Source organism: Homo sapiens, chromosome 2 (genome assembly GCF_000001405.40).
Source record: "Homo sapiens chromosome 2, GRCh38.p14 Primary Assembly".
Classification (NCBI taxonomy): Eukaryota; Metazoa; Chordata; class Mammalia; order Primates; family Hominidae; genus Homo; species Homo sapiens.
This window is the reverse complement of record NC_000002.12, coordinates 19,414,843-19,436,814: the sequence shown is the minus strand read 5'-3', so window position 1 is coordinate 19,436,814 and position 21,972 is coordinate 19,414,843. Positions and strand designations below refer to the sequence as shown.

Here is a 21,972-nt window from a genome sequence, read left to right as displayed (position 1 = left end):
AGCAGTCCTCCTGTTTTCAGGCTCATCCCACACCAGCCTTGAGATACACAACACCCTCTCATCTCTGAGACTGGAGGGTGTTGAGACACACAACTGGGTTGTACTGGGTAACAATTGGCATTCATGGGTTCCACAGTTCCCGAACTGGCAGTTGGATTTTAGTAACCACTCATTTATCTACTTTCTATTCCCTAAATTTTGTTGACCATCTCTTGTCTGCTGTAATACTGCTTTCATTTTCTTTGTCATTATGTGTTTATATATTTTATATTATTATATTTTAATGCTGCTGCAGGAAGGAGTGGAGATGAGCATCTATTCGACTTTCAACAAACCTTTTCATCCACATGTTGGCTTTCTATGTTTAAAATAGTTGAAAACATCAACCGCTATTTCCCTTACAGGACAATATTCAGGGTTGACCAACATATCTCATGTTCATGTCAATCAGGAAACAATTTCTGATTGTCAGAGCATTGCGGAATTCAAAGGGTATACCTGACCCAATTTCTGACCTCAGGGGAAGAATAGACAATGCTCGCAGAAGAGAAGATGTACAACGTGGGCAGGAAAGGGGAAATTTCTGGGATTGGAGGTAAGGAGGAGCCACAGAGCAGGTAACTTTTGAGTTGTACTCTGAAGTTAGAAATGGTGCTTGTCGGGGAAGAGGAGAATAGAGCATCCTCAGTGGTAGAAACAGGTTAGAAAACACTTGGAGCAAGAATTTACAAGGCAAAAGGGAGGAAATAGGGAGGAGGCCAGCAACAGCAGAGAGCTCTTGGGAGCCTGCTTGGGAAGATAAGATCAGAAAGACAATTAGAAACAGATGGCAGAAGAAGCTTGTCTGTCAGGAGACAAAGCATAGACTTACATCTAGGGGCTTGATTTCCTTCAGTTATTGTAAGGAGATGAAGAAGTAGCTATGTACATTTCTTTCACAGTTTGACTCCAGAAGTTGGGGATTTCAGTAAGGTGGGTCAAAAGGCTGCAGTCAAGAAGAAGCAGTTACCCGAGTTGTTCCAACTTCCTGCTGGCCTTTGTGAATGAACTGAGGTGGGTTCCTTGTCATGGGGCTATCCTAGGAGAGGAAGTGGATTTACCAGCAAAGTGCAGTGATTCCTGAGAAACTCTTACTGAAGGTGAGCAGAGAGAAGCCATCCTGGGCTCATGAGTGACCGAGTGAAGTGAAGCCTGGTGGAAGACAATTGGGCTGTGCAAGTGTTGATTAGAAAGCATGAGACCTCGCTGACATGTTGATATGATGATGGTGTGGCAATCAATGTCTTAAGAGTTTTATTACTTTTCATCTTTTCACGCCAACTTTGAACAAATTGCTTCCTTTGCTGTGGTTTGCTGAAAATTAAGGAGCAATTTCTGTTTACTCTTGGTGAACTGAATACCTGAATTTGCTCTGATTCTTCTTGAAACCCAGCCTGAAAGCTTAGAACTCAGTCCACCCAACATCTCAGATTTCGCTATATAGGTAACAGGCCCCCTCTCCTTATAATAAGAGTTATTAATTTAAATTCTCTGCATACTTTGGAGGAGGGTATAATTCATGCTTATATTAATGCCACAAGGGGAGAGAAATGAGTGCCCTTTTCTGGTTAAAATCCACCAAAGAACCTTTGTGAGATAGAGGGAACTTGGTAAAGAAGGTAATTATGGGAATGTCTAATTTTCCAGGTTGACCAGATTGTCCAGATTTCCAATTCATTGCTAGTAATAGCATTCATTAGTGCCTCTCATTTACTACTGTCACCCAAATTAATTTTTGAAATATGGAGATAATCTCAGCTCTGTTCTTTGCAATTACAAACATCTCTCCACCATAGTTCATATAGAAACAGTTTAATTTAAAAATAATAGCATTCCAAATACATAAGTATAAAGGCTATGGTTTTGAAACTATGACTTAAAAGAAAGGAAAAATTTCCCCAGACAAGTTTAAAAAAAGCAAGTCACAATAAATAATGCAATAATGCAGTTTTAAATTCTAATCCAAACCATAAAATAAATATCTATGAGCTCCCACTGATATAAATAAATGATTGAGTAAAATAAGTGAGGGAGAGTAGGCAAATCTCCCATGCAGAATTCCAAATAATATATGTAGAAATTCTGCCCTCAAGCAGGGGAGCCTAACTCTTCACTCCTGAGGTCTGAGCTAAAAAGTGATTAATAGTAACTTCCTCCAAAGAGCACAGTGTTGAAAGGAGTGGGGGAGTAATTTTACAGTGGAAAACATGAAAAACACCACCTTAGCCAAGTGATTAAAAATTAACATCAACAGTGATAGTCATATTTCTAGTACATATTCTTAACATGATGTGATACAATTGGCAATTCACCTCTGTGGCCTCCCTCTCAATAACCCATAACCCCAGTTTAATCATGAGAAAAAAACATCAGAAAAATCCGAATAGAAGAGCTGTGTTAGGCCATTCTTGAGTTGCTACAAAGGAATACCTGAGGCTGGGTAATTTATGAAGAAAAGAGGTTTAGTTGGCTCATGATTCTGCAGACTATACAAGCATGGTGCTAGCATCTTCTTGCCTTCCAGAGATGCCTCAAGGGGCTTTTACTCATGACAGAAGGTGATGGGGGAGCAGGCAAGTCACATGGTGAGAGCAGAGGCATGAGAGTGAGGGGGGAAGATGCCACACACTCATAAAACCATATCTCTGAGAATTCATTCACTATAGTGAGGACAGTACTAAGGGGATGCCACTAAACTATTCATGAAAAATTCACTCCCATGATCCCATCACCTCCCACCAGGCTCCCCCTCCAATATTGGAGATTATAATGCAACAGGAGATTTAGAGGGAACAACATCCAGACTCTATCAAGGGCATTCTACAAGACACCCGTCCAGTGTTTCCAAACCTGTCAATATAAAAAAAGAAAAATCTGAGAAACTGTCACATAAACAGGAGCCAAAAGACACATGACAATTAAATGTGATATGGTATCCTGGGTGGGATCTTAGATCAGAAAAAGGACACGGAGTCAAAACTAAGGACATCTGAATACAGTATGGCCTTTAGTAATAACAATTTACCAGTGTTGGTTTATTAATTATGACCAATATACCATAGTAATGTAAGATGTGAATAGTAGGAGAAACTGGGTATGGGGTATATGGGAAGTCTCTGTATCACCTTCACAATTTTTCTGTAAATATAAAACTCTTCCAAAGTAGTTAAATAAATAAAATGAAAAGTTTATTTTTAAAAAAGCAACTCACCAAAAATGTATTGTGAGTCTACTTATGTAGAAACAAACTAATTCTAAAATATGCATATAATATATGTCAATATCAATACAGATACTTGGAAAACTATAAAAGAGGGCATGTCTAGTTACTGACTTGATTAGTTCTAGAGGAGGGAAGTGAGATCTTTGGATAAGGAACAATTAAGGGGACTTTTATTTTTACTGTACATAGTTACAAGTTTTGCATATATGTATGATAGACATGTATTATACATATATAATATCTAAATATGTAAATATGTATGATATATATTGTTATACATATAATTAAAACTAAACATGAAAAACGAAAAGCACTCAAGTAAAATGAATATTTTTCTAACCTTAGATCTTTTTTTTTGCTCTTAAAGCCAAGTGTGATAAAGGCAGTAGTAGTGGGGAGATTGAGTACAAGTAACTGAAGCTCTTGATCTGAAATCTCTAACAGTATCCCTATTTGGTCCTTCAGCAGACCCATGCTTCTCTCTCCGAAGTTAGACTGGCATCCTCTTAAGATCAGATTGTGTTTTGAAGTATGTAAGAAAAGTAATGGGCTACTTGGTTTGGGTCTTTCCTGTGAGGATGCTTCAGCCTCAAGGGTTTCATTTCTTAAAAGTGAACTGAATTAGTTTGCATCTTAGAAATTAGCCAAAGTACCAGGAATGTTTCTAGCTGGGATGATAGCATTGTTTGGCCTCCCCAAAGCCTTATTCAGCTCAGCTATTCCAAATTGTCAGTGGCTTTCTTCCAGAGTGGCTGGGGCTGTCTGAGATGAGTTCAGACTCACTTCAGGGGCATGTCACTTTCCTACGAGTGCAGATATGAAGCCTAGAAGAACTGATTGTTACAATAGGTTGCAGTTACGATAGACTTGGCCTTGGCCACAAGGTGGATTGGGGGAAGGATAAATCAACCCTCCTCGCTCTGGGGCTACTGAGAGGCAGCCAGCAGCCCATCAAGAGTGTGACGAACTTGGATCCCATCAAGTCTGACATCCAGATTGGAAGGGTTTCTCTGGGAAAGGAAGATGGTGACATGTAGAGATGGTATGGCAGCAGGAGTCTCTGCAAGGGAGAGTTACTATTATTATTATTGTTGTTATTATACAATTGCCTTTATTAAAGGAGACCTGTTCAGGTTGAAGCAGGAACATAACCATCTCTGTTACACTCTTAACAATGAAGCCAGGGATAGCCCACATAATATAAACAAAGTTTCCCAACTGAGCAGTCAAAGTCTGGTTTGAACCTTTTACTCAAATTTTATTGTCTTAGTTTCCTATGACTGCTATAACAAATTACCACAAACTTGGTTGCTTAAAACAACACAGATTAATTCTCTTCTGGTTCTGGAAGTGAGAAGTCTGGAACCAGTCTCACTGGGCTAAAGTCATGGTGTCAGTAGCACCGGCCCTTTCTAGAGACTCTAGGTGAGTGTATTAGTCCATTTCCATGCTGCTGATAAAGACATACCTAAGACTGGGCAATTTATAAAGGAAACAGGTTTAATGGTGAACTCACAGTTCCACATGCCTGGGGAGGCCACACAATCATGGTGGGAGGCAAGGAGGAGCAAGTTACATCTTATGTGAACACTAGCAGGAAAGAGAGAGCTTATGCAGAGAAATTCTCATTTTTAAACCCATCAGATCTTGTGAGATTCATTCACTATCATGAGAACAGCATGGGAAACACCCACCCCCATGATTCAATCATCTCCCACCAGGTCCCTCCCACAACTTTTTGGAATTATGAGAGCTTCAAGATGAGATTTGGGTGGGGACACAGAGCCAAATCATATCAATGAGAATTTTCTTCCTTACCTTTTCTGGCTTCTAGAGGTCACCTGTATCTCTTGTATTTTCTGCAGCTCCAGGGCCACATGGGTGCCCAGGCCATAGCTCCCACCAGGCCTCTGTCAAGACCAAGTCCAGACAAAACTTGCTGTTGAGAAGGGGACCCTCACTCTGCACCAGGTTTTATTCTCTTTAGCTCAGGACTCAGCAGATCCAAGCTGTAGATTGGAGATATAAACAGACAAGGTTGAGAAAGGCAAGAGGCAAGGCAACCCAGGTGCCCTATGCGACTGACTTGCCAGGGAGAGCAGATCCCGGGTCTCATTTCTTTCTCCTTCCCCAGCATCCACAAAGCCCTGCATGTTGTTTCAGTAATAAAACCTCAAATTTTTTAGCACTGTTATTTCATTGAACTTACCCAGTTTCTGTGCCACAGGTACTATTATTTTTCCTACTTTCCAGATAAAGAAATTTAGGGAGGGAAAGTGACCTGCTTGAGGTTACTGCAAGCAACTAGTAGTCCGAGGCTCAGGCTGCGTGGTGCTCTTAGATCTCACCATAAGAGATGTCAACAATTTGAATATCCAGTGCCTTTTCAAGAGGGGTGGAGTTATTGCTCATATTAATGGCAAAAGAGGAGAGAATGTGCCTTCTTTTCCAAATAAAAGAAAACCAGACCAAAAAACACCTGCATACAAATGCTCACACGTGGGACCAGGCATCACATTTATCATCACTGAAAGGTGCCTGAACTGCAGAAATCTTTTTGAGCAATAAGCTTGTCCTGGAATGTTGCCCTTCTTCACAATGGTCTTCAAGGCATAAGTATTCCCTGCAAGCCCAGAGTATTTTAATGCATGTTTTATATAAGTAGCCATTAGGCAAATGTTTTAAGTGGCTCCAGTAAGCTACTTTTACCACATATAGCCTGCTTTTTCAAAAAACAAGAACGATTAAGAGCAACAACGTAAATCAGCTATTTAGTCCACAAAATTCCATTTTGTATAATAGAATTATGAGAGTGTATGTTTCAACAATCTATTTATTAAAAGAATTTAGAGAAAAATTGCTGCCTTGAGTATGTTTTTTAGTCCCTCATAGTGTCTAGCACAGGAGCTTGCAACAAAGTAATGAAATGCTCAGTAAATGTTTCACTGGCTAAATGTAGTTAGCAACACCTTCATTAGTGTAAATATCAGTTAGCTTCTAAATGAGATGTCTTTCTTAGACACCTATCATAAGGTTACTCTTCATTGCTCATAAGATGCAGATTTTTAGCATCCTGTTCAAAGTTATTTGAAATCTGGCTCCAGCCCACCTTACCAACTTCCTTCCCTGTATACTGCAACTACATGATGTTGACTTATCCCTTCAAAATGCTTGAACTTTCTTGCCTCCATGCTTTTGTTCATTTTTGCTTTTTCTACCTAACATGTTCTTTTTCCCTTGTCTGTTACAATCCCTTCAAAACCAAATTCAAATTCAATTTCCTCTGCGAAGCCATATCCAGTTGTTACCACTCAGAATAAACTCTACCCTCTCTTTGGCCCGGGTTATAAACTGTGTGTAATTCTAATGTAGCACTTACCACAGTCTCCTGTAGGTTCCAGTTAGGTGTGTATATTTTGCTCCACATTCCACCATTCTCTGCTTCTTGAAGACACAGCCTCTTGCCTTGTGTTCTTTTGAATTTTCCAGTTACCAAGAGACTCACTTATATTAAATGCTCAAGAAATATTTATTTAAGGCAGTGGTTTTGGAACTGGGCTGCACAGTAGAAGAATATGGGGTAGTTTTTTTAAAAAAATACCAACTCTTATACCCCACCTTAAAATAAATAAGTCAAAATCTCTGGGAGATGGGGCCCAAACACTGATGTGTTAATAAAGCTTCTCACGTGGTTCCACTGTGGGCAGAGATGAGCTTTAAGATCTGTTAGCTGGAAGGTAGCCCCCCACTAACTCACAGTTTTTCCCGGCCTTGATCACCCACATCTCTGAAGATAAATCCTTGCACCTGGAAAAGTTTTGACTTCACCATGACTTTGAAGTGAACTTTAACTTCTAAAGAAATCTGTGATGACACAAAAGGCAGGTAAGATATATAGTTGAGAGATCAGCCCCCACATGTGGAAGTGGTTTGTTGCACTCTGGAATGTACCTGTGGAAAAGGTAGTTTTGAAAATGTGAGTAGCAGATGCTCCTGTTCATACACATGCAGTTGACTGATTATGGTGTGCAATCACTTCTCAAATTCAAAATCAGTTGTCTTCCAGAGGTGTTTCCCTTAATCAGGTCTGTGGTGCCAACATGTGGATTGGCAGACCACGCCTTTTATGCAGCTTTATGGAGGCTTGCCCTAGGCTGTCATGCCTTGCTTCCTGTCCTCCTGTCTTTACAGGTGGAATGGGTAATGTTTCTCTATGCCAGTACAGCTAGTTCCTATGAAGCAAGACTACTGGCCCTATGTCAGTGGTTAAAACCTATATTACTGGGCTCTATCCCCAGAGTTTATGATTCAGTAGGTTTGGGATAAAACCTGAGAATTTGCATTCCTAAATTCCCAAGTGATCCTGATGCTGCTGGACTAGTGACCACATTTTGAAAACCACTGCTCTGGAAACAAGAACAAAAAAGAGAATAGAAAAATAATTGATTTGATTCTTAAAGTGGTATAGGTTAAGGTTATAATTGCTTATAAAGGCTATGAGGAGAGAGAAGTGGCTGTGATTCTTTTTTTTTTTTTTTTTTTTTTTTTTGAGACAGAGTCTTGCTGTGTCCTGTCACCCAAGCTGGAGTGCAGTGGCACAATCTTGGCTCACTGCAACCTCCGCCTCCCAGATTCAAGCAATTCCCCTGCCTCAGCCTCCTGAGTAGCTAGGATTACAGGCATGCACCACCATACCCAGCTAATTTTTTTGTATTTTTAGTAGAGACGGGGTTTTACCAAGTTGGCCAGGCTGGTCTCAAACTCCTGACCTCAAGTGATCTGCCTGCCTCGGCCTCCCAAAGGTGACTATGATTCTTAATGTTTCAAGAGCTATTTCATGACTAGCCAATGTTACATTTTAGCAACAAAAAACAAGGAGTAAATATGTACATGATTTGTACTATGAGCTTCTCTGAGATATGAGTATGTGGATGGAGTTATGCTGTGAAATGAGAATTTAAAAGGCAATTATATGTCTGCTACAGAATTTGTTTTGTCACAAGTATGAAGCTTTATCATAGAATAAAATGGTATTTTTCTAATAAGAAAACCAACTGTGCTTAGCATGACCCTTACCAAACACATAAAGCTCAAGGCCTCTGCCTGAACCTCTAACAGATGGAAAGCTCTTAGCTGCCTCCAGAAGGTGTTATACAGTGAGAAGATTGAATGGAGAAAATATAAAACAAAACAAACAAACAAAAAGAAGCTGTTTCCCTGATTTACAACTATCGGTGTTATCTACTGTTTGCATCAAGTAATAACTCTCTTGTAGGACATTAAACAGGTGCTAAAAAAAAAAAAGCCCAAGGACAAGAGATTAATCAACATGTGTTTTCTCAATAACCCAACAGAACTCATCACCTGCCGTAGTTCCAGAAAGTTGCAGTCACAGGCTATGACTGAAAAGATTAAAAATGAATCTAAGAGATGATCCCACCAACACAAAGTGACACTTTATTTTGTGAATACAGGAAAGGCAGAGCTGGCAAAACAAATGCTAACACAACATTAAGGAGAACAGGAGTACAGAGAAGCAGGTGGTTGGGGAATCTGATTCCTGTACAGAGTAAACACTTAAGCTGACGCCAACGCAAAAACGAGGCAAATCCTTAGAATTCTAGTAGCAGAAGAACAGGATTTTAGGCTTTACAAATGTTGGACTGGTGCTTTTCTAGGTCTTCAAATTCACTTTTTTTTTTTTTAGCTTTTTCTTCCCAAGTTTGTCCTCATAAATATCTAGCCTAATCTGTTCTATAGTAGCACATAGAGTATACCCTGGGATATAAGACAGGATGGTAAAGGGCTGCACACTTTAACACCAAACAGCCAAGGGCTTTGGTAGGGTAGTTTCTATATCTTGGCGGGCCCCTTCCAGGCAGACACTGAAAAAATATGTATTTGGGGCAGGGAGGAGAAGAGTAGTGCCTATGAGGAGGATAGGAGACACATTTACTTAGAATATTTATGTATTTATGTCTCTCAGATAAACCCTCCAACTATATAGAAGTTGTCCACTTAATAGCTCAGTGGGGCTGGGCGCAGTGGCTGATGACTGTAATCCCAGCACTTTGGGAGGCTGAGGCGGGCGGATCACTTGAGGTCAGGAGTTCGAGACCATCCTGGCCAACATAGTGAAACCCCGTCTCTATGAAAAATACAAAAATTAGCTGGGCCTTGTGATCCCAGTTACTCGGGAGGCTGAGGTGAGAGACTCGCTTGAACCTAGGAGGCGGAGACTGCAGCGAGCCAAGGTCACGCCATTGCACTCCAACCTGGGCGACAGAGCATGAATCAGTCTCAAAAAGAAAAAAAAAAAAGGATTTCAGTGCTATCTCTGGAGTCAGGAACAGTGGAGAGGCCCCATCTCCTACCTCCTTTTCTTCTCTCTGCAGGAGGAAATATTCTTGTGCAACCCTGATTTAAGACATTCTCCAGATCTCTTTGTTTTTCACCCAGCAAAGGATATAAGATCTTTTTAAATCACACTTTTTTAAGTACTAAAATGCTCTTATGAGGCCCCTTTAGGGGAGATATTTAGATATTCTTTCTTTTATAATCCAAATTCTTGTCTGTTAAACGCAAGAAAAAAATTCTAAAAAAATTTTTTAAAAACTTAAAAAAACAAATACATCTGGTGAAATTAAGCATAATTTATTTTAAAATTAGGTTAAAAATGTTTACAGTGCTTGTCCCAACTTTTCTAGATGTTACAACAAGTAAACACTATTAGATCAAATTTAATTTGGTTTGGTGTTCTAACCAACTTACACCTTGATTTTCTTTTTTCCTTATAACAAGATTCACTCCGGTATGGGGGGTGGTCTTAGAAGTGTTGATTTTAGCTTTTCTTTTCAATGCAAACACATGCACCAAGGCACTTTCTTATTGTAAACTGAGTTAGATAAGCTTTCAGTGTAGCTCTGCTTTATTAAACCAGGAAGTTTATAGACCCTACAAAAAGAATATGTATTTCCATTTCATGTTGGCATCAGTGGCGGTACTATGTATAATGTTGTTAGTACTGGTAGCTGGAATTCTCCATGGGAGATAGATGAAAGACGGGTGACAATAAAAAGGGTATCAGAAACTAAAAACAAAATGTGAGATGGACTCTAGAATCAAGGGCACTATTTACTAAGGCAGAAACTTGGGATTTGGCCTTCAAATCTCAGACGAGAGTGAAACTGGGGCTCCCTAAATAGCACAGCAGGTAGCAGGAGGAAACAGGACAAGCTCAGGGAAAAGAAGAGTTTCCCCAGCTTCCAGATTTGCAGGGAGAAGAAGTGCTTTATGGAATGTGCAGTGCTTTACGTTATTGTTCAAAAGTAGTTTTCCGTATAATTTCGAATGCCAGGGAAATGTGTTGGTTTAGCTCCTGTTTAGGGGACTGAATGATGCAAGTTATAGTTTAGTCAAGTTAAATTAAAGAACAAACCAGTGTCGGTGTTGACATTTGATCCCTATAATACCAAACCTTGTTTGATTCTTCTGAGTTATTTGTGTTAACAGAGGTGATGTTAATGGCTTCCACCTTCCTTTTCATGCAAATGATAATTTCGTCTTTGCCAGTTCTGTGCCTGGAATTGTTGCATAGATGTGGATAATGAGGGAGAAGGAGAAGCAAAAGCAACCAAACTAATTTGACGGATTTACATTGGAAGGACAGAGAGCTACCTGCAGAAAAGAAGAGACTAGATTATGAAAGTAAGGGGAGATGGGCAAGAAAAATGAAGTCTAGCTCAGGACAAATTTTGAGAAAGCGTCAGAGTACATTTTGAGAGAGAAGGAGAAAGACTGGAAGAATTCATTATGCTGAGATGAGAAGGACTTTGGGATATAGATAGCAAACAGGATTTCAAATAATTTTGTGTTGCATCATACATGGGCTGTGAAAAGACTCACTCAATGTTCCCAGCAAACTCCCAAGAGCCAAGCACTCTTCTTCATTGTTTTCCTTATGAAACCCTTTTCTTTGCTTGTTTTTCTTACGGTACAGTTGATCAAGTCTCATTTTGAAATAGTTTTCCTTGGATTTCCAGGGAGTCTACTACAGTACAAATTCATACAAATCTGTAACAACCTCCCATTGCCATCAATTAGGGTTGCATTTGACTGCATTTAACACATAATCATCTTCAGTTAGTTTATTTTTTCCATATAACTAGAAGTCTGGAAATGGGCAGATCTGGGGAAAGTGCAATTTCTCAAGGAAATATTCCTGTCTTTAGGATATTTTTTTGAAGATGGCCATTTCACCTTCAGATATTGAAACTGTGTTCCAGACAGAAGAAGGATGAAAAGAGAAATGAACAAAGGCATATGCCCGATGAGTCCATCTCTTTAACCAGAAAAACAACAACTTTCCATATCTGATGGACCTCCCCTTAAATTTCTACCACAATCTTGTCACCTGGTCAACCCCTAGTTGGAAGTGAGCCTGAAAGACAAAGCATTTTATATGTGCACATTACTTCCCCACCGAGCAAAATAGAGCTTCTGTAAATACAAAGGAGGAAGAAGATAATGAATATTCAGCAGGCTGCTAGTCATGTCTGCTACTTTTCTAGCTTGCTACATTAAGCTGGATATACAGATGGAGACTGGCAGACACTTATTATGTTCTTCCCCCACACAGTTACATCTATAAATTTGTAGTCTGTTATCCTCAGTTTTAGACTTTTTATATCTGTCAAAGTATCCTAGATAGTATTGCTAGTTTTATATATCCTGTTAATTAGATCAAGCTGGAGAAGTCTGCCTTTCCCACCAAACTGAGACCTTTATGCCAATCCAAGAAATATATGAAAAGTCAAAAAATTTAACCAGAATATTTGAATATGTAAAGAAACCAGTAGATATTCTACAACTGAAATATATAATACCTAAGATTAAGAATAAATTAGATGAGTCCAACAGCAATTAGACACAGCAGAAGATTCAATTATTGAACTGAAAGACAGGTGAATAGAAAATATTTAAAGACAAATATTGAAACAACTGAACAAACAGAGCTTAAGAGTTGTATAGGATCTCTCCAAAAGTTCTAATGCACGTTTAATTGGACTCCCATAAGACAGAGGAGAGAAGACGGCAGGAGCAATAATCTAAGACATAATGGTTGAGAATTTTTGAAATTAATGAAATGCTTCAATTCACAGATACAAAAACATCAGTGAACCACAAGCTAAATAAACATAAAGAAAACAGACCTAAGCACATCAAGTCAAACTACAGAAAAATTAAAGACAAAGATAAAATCTTAAAAGGAGCGCGAGAAAATAACTGCCATAGTAGTATCTTAAACTCAATGAAAACTTATTTCAAAAAGGAAAAGAAATTAAAGTTTTTTCTTTGTTTGTTTTAGGAAAACAAAAATTAAGAGAATTTACTACCAACAGGTCTGTACTAAAAGAAATAGCAAAGGGAATGCTTTGGAAAGCTCAAAAATTATCCCAGCAAGATACATGAAAATGCCATTTGAAATAAAGAGAACTAACTGGAAATGATAAATATGTTGGCAAACATAAAGCAATAGTGATGGTATAGACAATAGTAGAAATGACTCAAAAAGTGTAAAACAAAGATGCTTCATAAAGATAATACAAAAGATGGAAGGAGGTAAATGGACTTAAAGTGTTTTAAGATTCCAAATTATAGGAGAAATGGTAAAGGTAAATATTTTTATTAGAATTAAATAATTTGAAAATGTAAGTTGCAATTGCTTGAGTAAAAAATAGAAAAATGTATAATTAACAAATGAATAGCAAGGAAAATGAATAATAAAATTATTTGATTAATCTAAAAGAAGGGAAGAAAATAGAATATAATACATATTAGTAAATTAGAAACAATAGTAATACATAAATGCATAATATATGTATAAACCCAGTTTAATCAAGTAAATGGACTGAAACTTTTGAGTAAAAAAAGTTATAGTACAAAATTCTTTTAAAAAAGAAAAAGTCTCCACTATGGTACTTTCAAGAGAAAAACAAATGTGAACACAGAAAGTTTGATACATACAATGATGGAAAATATCCTATGCAGGCCGGGTGTGGTGGCTCACGCCTGTAATCCCAGCACTTTGGGAGGCTGAGGCCAGAGAATTGTTTGAACATGGGAGGCAGAGATTGCAGTGAGCCAAGATTGTGCCACTGCACTCCAACCTGGACAACAGAGTCAGACTCTGACACAAACAAACAAACAAACAAACAAAATATCCTATGCAAATACTGACCAAAGGAAAGCTGGTATAACTATGCCAATAACAGACAAAATAGGCTTTAAGACAAAAAGTATTATGGAAGATATAAAGGATATTTTCTATTGGCAGAGGGATCACTTCAGCAGAATGGCAAAATCCTAACTCTGTAAGCACCCAATAACATAGCTGTAAATTATATGAATGAAATTTACTAACAACTAAAAGAAAAACTAAATAAATCAACAGTTTTACAACTATGGTAAAAGGTTTTAACATATCTCTTTTAATGACTGATAGATCAGGCAAATTATAATCTGCTCCCAGACAAAGATTTAGAAAATGTGAAGAACAAAATTAACCAACTTGGCCTAAAGTCATATATATGACCTAAGTGACATATATAGAACACAGAACCAATGTTGCCACATTGACATCTTTTCATTCTCACATGACACATTTACCAAAATAAACAATAATGTTGGTCCATGAGGAAAGTCTTAAAAAAGTCTAAATGACTGAAATTATTCAGAATTGGTTCTCTGATATCAATGAATTAAATTAGAAACCAAGACCGGGTGTGGCGACTCATGCCTGTAATCTGAGCAGTCTGTGAGGCCAAGGCGAGAGGATTGTTTGAGGCCAGGAGGTCAAGACCAGCTTGGACAAGACCTCATCTCTACAAAAAAGGGAAAAAAAGGAATTAAAATTAATGATAAAAAGATAACTGAAAACATTTAATTGCCTAGAAGTTAATAAGACACTTCTAAATAATTAATAGGTTAAAGAAGAAATCAAAATTAGAAAATACTTTGCGCCAAGTGATTATGAAGATAAAACATATAGTTTGTCACTTGAAGCTAAAGCAGTACTTAAAGAAAAATTTATAGCCTTACATCATATATCAGAAAACAATGAAGATCAAGAAATAATAATTTAAGCTCTGTCTTTTAAAAAACTATTAAAAATGATACTTAAGGAAACAAAATTTAGGAAACAATAAAGATAAGCACAATAATCAATTTTTTAAAAGTACAATAAAGTTAATAGTCCTAAATTTGATTTTTAGAAAGGGCTAAAGAAGTGATAAACCTGCAGCAAGATTGGTCAAGAAAAAAAGAAGAGAGAGAAAAGACAAATTATCAATATTTGGAATTAAAGAAGAGATCTCATTATCGATCCTACAGATACATTATTTTCAAAGATAAAGGTATTGCAAACCACTTTATGCAAATGGAGTTGACAATTTGTATGAAAAGGACAAATTTTTCAAAAAATGCAACTTACTATAGCTGAGAGATAAAGAAATAGAAAACCTGAATATTTCAATGTCTATTAAAGAAATTGAATATTTTATTGAAACCTTTTACTCCACACACACACAAATGACTAGATGGCTTCCAAACACATAAAGTAAATAGAACATAAATCTTATTCAACTTCTCCAGAAGGTAGCAAGTGTATGTTATTTAATGAGTTCCATTCATTTGAGATGCTTGTGATGTTTGTGAGTGGACATGTCCAATAGGTAGCTGAGTCTGGGCAGAAGGGATAAATGATTCGGGACTGACTGTGTGCAGATGGTGACAGAAATCACAAGTGTGAAAGTGTCTTTTACTAATTGTCACCATTTTATCAACATTATGGAAGAACCAAGGAGAGATAGTGGAATTCTTGCGATTAGGAGAGCTGCACATGTAGGCTACTTATTAAGAGTTAACATTCAAGAAACAAAATTATTCTTTTTGGCAGTTCTTTTTATATATCTTTAATACCAAAATCTGATGAGCATATTATAAGAAAGAAAAATTTCAGTCTTATCTTTCCTGTGAACATAAAAGCAAAAATTCTAAACAAAATATTAGCAAACAGGATCAAGCAATATATTGAAAAGGATAATATATCTTGACCACTAAGTTGGATTAATTTAAGAAAGCAAAAGAAGATCAACATATTAACAGAAAAATGAGAAAATCACATAATTTCAATAGATGTAGAAAAGGCATTTTATAAAATTGAATGTCTTTTAATGATCTAAACTCCAAACAAGCAAGAAATACTCTGATTATAAATATCTATTTTTAAAAATATACAGCCAGCATCATACTAAAGGTTGAAATAATTTCAGCTCTCCCCCTGAGTTTGAGAACAAGGTGGGATGTTGCATACACCACTTCTATTGAACATTGTACTAGTGATCCTGCCAAGTGCAATAAATAAATAAAAATGTGCAGGGAAAATAAATCAAAGTCATAAGGATTGGAAGGAAAGATAATGTTATTTTATTCACAGATGACATGATTTTATACTTTAAAAATTCAAAGGATTTTAGTGACAATAGCTTTAATAAGTGAATATTGCCAAGTGGCTGGATAGAAAATCAGTATACAAACATTAATTATATTAATCGGTATACCAGCCACAAACAGAGAGAAAAGAAAATACAAAATATATACCACTTAAAATAGTAACAAAAAACTTGAAGTTGAACAAATGATGTCCAAGAATCCTACACTGAAAACTGCAAGTCTGCTGAAAGGAGTTTAAAAATACCTAAGTTAATGGAGAGAGAGATAATATTCATGGTTTATAAGGCACACTATTGTTAAGGGGCCAGTTATTTTTAAATTAATCCAAAAATATTAATGGCATTAAATCCCAGACAAAATATCAGTAGGTTTTGTTATAGAAACTGACAAGCCATTTCTAAAATTCATATACAAAGGCATTAGAGAAAATAAGGTAATTTTTAAAGATAAGCTTTCTATTTTAGAGCAGTTTTAGATTGACAAAAAAATTGCGAAGATAGTACAGAGAATTTCCTATATATCCCTTACCTAGTTTCCCTTATTAACATCTTACAGTAGCATGACAGCTAATGAACAAATATCAACACATTATTAGTAACTGAAGTTCATATTTTATATTCAGATGTCACCAAGGCAATTTAAAAGCTCAAGGTTTTGCACTATCAGATTTCAAGACATATTGTGAGGCTTTTGTAATTAAGACAGTGTGACATTAGCATAGCATAGACAGATTTACCAGTGGAACACAACGGAGAATGGACAGTCCAGAAATGGGCTCACACACACAGTCACCTGATTTATCATCTATTCTATTGTTCTATCCAGGTTTCTAAATCTATTTGTTAGATCAGACTTGAAAATCATTTTATTCAAGAATCCTATATGTTTACTTTTCCAAAAAATCTTATATGTTTACTGAAAGAAGTGTGTTAAAATCACCCTAATAGCCTTTTTTGGTAAAGTTTTGAGGTTTTTTTATAATTAAGTGATACTAAATTGTATGTATTTTGTTGATGTTTGGATAAAAATATATTAGTGAATAATTGTTCATTTCTTTGTTCCTCTATGTTATACCCTGGAGGATTTTCTCAGTTGTATCTTCCAAGGAACTGTTCTCTCTTCAGTTTCTCCTGTCTATTCTTTTTCGAATGCTTTTATTTCAGCTCTAATGTTCTAATGGTTTTTAATGTCTACCTTTAATCTTTCATAACTTGTAATTCTTCCAGATGTTAGTCCCTCCTTTGGCTTTTTGAGAATTTTAAACATCCAGTGTTTATTTTAAAGTCTTTTCCAAATACCTCAATCATCTCTATATTGTCAGGAATAAACAGTCCCATCTGCTGGTTCTTTTGACGCTGAAGTCCTTTCTTGGCACTGGAATCCTCATACATCTTGCTTCATTTCTTTCTCCCTTCCCATCTACTATTGGAATGATCACATTTTTTTAAAATTCCACCTTGTCTTGTGCTCCCTTGGGTTAGAAGTTTTATTTTACATTTTTATTTTTGAGATGGTTATACTCAAATTTTTAACATACATGATTAATTTTAAAATGTCAAGTGGTGTCATCTCCACATTCATAGCAGATTTGCATCATTTCAAAACTACATGGGAACACTTAAGCCTCCAGCCATGTTGGAAGCTTAACTGGTAGTGAACTTTTCCACAAACCGTGAACAGCTAGAAAACTGGGTAAATATGTGAAATAACTTTCTGGAGATTGGGCATTCTGCTGTACAGTATTGTGTTCCCTAAGTAAAAGGAGAGCCATGAAATGAAACTAATGAGCCTTCCGGCTTTCTCCCTGGGCATTTTCTGTCCTGAAGCACAGGACAGAGAGGAGTGGGACCTAAGCGGAGCATGGGGGTTTTGCTGCACTGAGAGATTGGAGGACGGAAAGCTGACACAGCTGAACTCTGATGAACAGAATACTATGGGGAAGGAAACCACAAATGGGAAGAATTGCCGAAATCTGCTGTTTTAGTCCATTTAGGCTGCTATAACAAAATTCCACAAACTGAATAGCTTATGGATAGCAGAAATGTATTTTCCACAGTTCTGGAGGCTGGGAAGTCCAAGATCAAGTCTCCAGCAGATATGGCATTTGGTAAGGACCTGCTTTCCAGTTTGTAGCTGACACCTTCTTGCTCTGTCTTCACAGGCTGGAAGGGGTGGGGATGGCTCTCTGGGGCCTTTTTCATAAGGGCACTAATCCCATTCATGAGAGCAGAGCCCCAATCATCTCTGAAAGGCCCTACCCCTTAATTCCATTACTGGGTGTTTAGAATGTCAACATATGAATTTTAGGGGAATAAAACCTACTCCATATTCCATATTATTTTTCAGCCATAGCATCTATGCAGGGAGTGGTTACTGTAATATTTTTCCTAAATATTGCGCTGCATAGGTAAAGCAAGATGCCATGAGGGCAAGGAAAGAACAACTACCAGAGATTTGTGGGTTGAATAATTCCCACAGCTCACATATGTCTGGGAGAATTTCGTGTTCCAACTAGCCAGAGTGGAGAGACCTTGCAGAAAAGCCAACTGTTCAGTATAATTTTGTTTCTTGAATGATAACTCTTAATAAGTAGCCTACATGTGCAGCTCTCCTAATTGCAAGAATGCCATTACTTCTTCTTTGTTCTTCGATAGTGTTGATAAAATGGTGACAATTAGTAAAAGACACTTTCACACTTGTGATTTCTGTTGCCATCTGCACACAGTCAGTCCCAAATCATTTATCCCTTCTGCCCAGATTCAGCTATCTATTGGACATGTCCACTCACAAACATCATAAACATCTCAAATGAATGGAACTCATTAAATAATGCAAGAATGAATTAAAATAACATACAATGCTATAATGTTATAATTTACCAATTGTTTTCCATGTTTATCTCTCTAGCTATATTGAAAATTTTTGAGGTCTGCTGTCTGGGTTTGAGTCATTGCCCCTTCCCATATCCCCTTGAACAAATCACTAAACCTCTTTAAATGTTTACTTTTTTCACTTATGTACTAATGACACTTATTTCTGATTTATTTGAGGACCAAAATTTAAATAAGCAGTGTATATTAAGTGCTTTGTAAGTTGTAAAGGATAATAAAAGTGTGGGATATTATTATATTCCAGCATTCCCCAACAGCACGTTCCCCACACCAGCAACAGTACTGGGCATGTAAAGGGGGCTCAGTAAATGTCTGGATATTGATAAACTAGACTGTATGATGAAATTGGAGGACCAAACATCACGAGTAAGAGGACCTGACTTTGTTCTCTTCTGTACCACTGACTTCCTGTGTGATGTGGGGCCAGTTCCTCGCCTCACTGGACTTTTTTTTTTTTAATCCAGATAACATCTAAGAATCCTTTCTGTCCCCATGGCAGGCAGTTCTTAACAAAAGGCTTAGTTAACTCTGCTTTACAGATTTCAAAAGCAGAGTCCAGTGGCCCTTCCTATCAGACACCTTACATTTACCACCTTATCGATGTTCTATTTTCCTTCTGCATTCCACTTCCGTAGCTCTCCCAGGTGAAGATCTGGCATGTGATAGTGAATTCTCCATTGGAATCTCCATAACAAAGGGAAAGCAAGAGTAGAAGTCTCTGTAATCCCACAGAACTCTCTGGCAATGCTAGTTCTGGCCTTTTTTTCCCCATTCCTCACAGATGGACAATTGAGAAGACATAGCCAGTTGGCTTTTTTTAAAAAGCTAGTCAACAAGTTTCTTGACATAGCAAGTTGCTTTTCTTTCTTTCTGTCAGCAGGGAAGGGTGGGGACATGTTTCTCTCCCAGGCATGGGGGGCTGCCCATGTCTACCTTTATATACTAACCTCTCAAGGCTTACACTGGGGTCCATCCAATCTTGGCTGCATCCACCTAGATGGCCAGGGATCAACTTTCTGTCTGACTTCTATTTGGATTCAAGGCAGAAATAAGGGTCCCATGGGCAAAGCCTTTTTTACTTTGGGGCTGTTTCCAAAAATTAAGTTGCTGTAATACCCAATAACACCAGATAAGGAACAGAGCAGTCACAGTTGTTCCCTGGCCTTTCACCTCCTAGTGGCCATCAGCCAGTGGGCTTCAGGGCCCCCGAAGGCTGTGCAATGAAGCATGGCTGCTAGGGTCCTCTCTTCAATGTATTTAGATCCACCATAAAGTAAACTGCCTCAGGATGCCACCTTCCCCCAGCCCCTCCCAGGACTTCCAGAGGGCACTGCTGACATACAGATGGCCCTCTTTCCTCCTAAAACTGCTGTTTCCTAGCAACTCTGCTTTTGAACTTTTCCCATGGCCTTCGAAGGTATCCTTTTCTTTGTTCTGTTCTTAAACTTAAAAGCTATAAAAATTTGCAAAACATTTGTTCATTCAAAGGCAAAATAATAATTTTTATAATAATTTTTATGCACATAATTTCTCCCCTTACACATGCTATCTCTATATTTACCAACTCTTTCTCTTCTCTCTCGGGGACATTTTCTGCATTAAATGATCTGGAATTGTTTTCAGAAGAAACATAGAGAGAGCAAAGTAGAAAGAGGAAAGAAAGAAAGAGAACCAAAAGAAAGAGAGAAAGAAGAAGGAAGGAAGGAAGGGGAAGGAAGGAGAAGGGGGGAAGGAAGGAGAAGGAAGGAAGGAAGGAGAAGGAAGGAAGGGAGGGAGGGGAAGGAAGGAAAGGACGGAGGGAGGGAAAGGAAAGGAAAGAGAAAGAAAGAAAAAAGAAAGAAAGAAAGAGGAAGGAAGGAAGGAAAAGAAAAGAAACAGAAAGAAAGGGAGAAAGAGAGAAAGAAGAAAAGAAAGAAAGAAAGAAAGAGAAAGGAACTGCATTTAGATATTGGCCCCAAAATGCCAACCCCCGAAGAAGCCTAGGTTCTTAGCTGCAGTGTCCTAACACATTGACCCAAGACACACATTGACCCAAGTGTGTCTGCACCCAAGCCAGAGGCCCCACATTAATTTAAATCTGGCAGCAGCTTCAGCTGTTCTTCATGAGCAGAAACAGAATTCTCTTTGGGGATCTAGACCTAGGAATTTGAAACCCATACATTTCTAATGTGGATGGCAGGCTGGAGTTGGTGGGGGAAAGAAGGGGGTCACAGGTGTGCAGAGAGATGGAAATTAACTGGAGCCTCCTGAAGAGAGTGGAATGTACCAGAATTAGCCAGAAGACTGAGTGCTCCGATGTGGCCTTTATGCTTTAATGGTGGAGAGAGAGATGGTGAAGAAATAAATCCTTGCTCAGGCACTCTCTGCCTTACAATATGCACTACTCAGTGGTTTGGTATCTTTGTGCATTGTATTCTTTATTATATAAGAAGCTTGTAAACAGAATGTGAGCCCTTTTAGAGAAAGGATCAGTATCCTCCTCTGTTAAACAGAGAAAATGTATTCAGACTTTATTTAGTACATGACACTTTCCATTCACTTCACACACACACAAAAAGTTTCTAATAAAAGTTAAAAACAGATTCTCTATTATAACCTTGCTCTATTGCCAAACTCAGAGACTAAGGTTGTCACCAATGACCTAATAGGCAACTGTCCCTCCCCTATGTGAACATGATACATAAAGCTGTTTCTATTTTTAAGTAAAATATATAACGCCTTGTGAAATTTCTTGAAAGTATTTCTAAATGTTTTAGGCAAATCAAATTATCAAAACTAACTCCAGAAAAAGTAGAAAATGTGCATAGATAGTAGCATTGTAATCAACATAAAAAGTTGTTAATGAACTATGCCACCCAAAAGGAAAATGGCCATGGGTCCAGAAACTTTCCTAGTGAATTCTAGAGAGGCTCTAAGAATAGACTATTTTCTATCTAAACTGTTTGAAAGGGTGAACATAAAGTTCAAACTTCCCAATACATTTTTAAAGCCAGAAAAATTTTAAAGCTAAAATATAAAATACATCAACCTTATTTGTGAATGAAGACTCACAAATACTAAATATAGTATTAGCTAATTAAATTCAGCTACATATTAAAAGAACTACATACTACCACCAAGTTGAGTTTATTCCAGAAATGAAAAGATGTTTCAACGTCAGAAATCAAACAAGATAATATATTTTGTTATTTGGTGAAAGAAGAAGAGCTGTATGATCATTACTTGAGATGTTTTTCAAAAGGCATTTGTCAAAGAATCTATTTGTAATAAAAAGTATTTAAATGTCTTACAAAACTGAAGAGTAGT

The 21,972-nt window shown here is 37.5% G+C and overlaps 1 long non-coding RNA gene across 1 annotated transcript; it reads left to right on the top strand.

Annotated features, from left to right (window-relative positions):
- The first annotated feature begins 307 nt into the window (after window positions 1–307).
- On the top strand, window positions 308–6,822 carry LOC105373458 (uncharacterized). Its single transcript, XR_939778.2, has 3 exons — window positions 308–595; window positions 942–1,139; window positions 5,128–6,822. It is a non-coding gene; the product is annotated as an uncharacterized LOC105373458 (long non-coding RNA).
- Window positions 6,823–21,972: the final 15,150 nt, after the last annotated feature.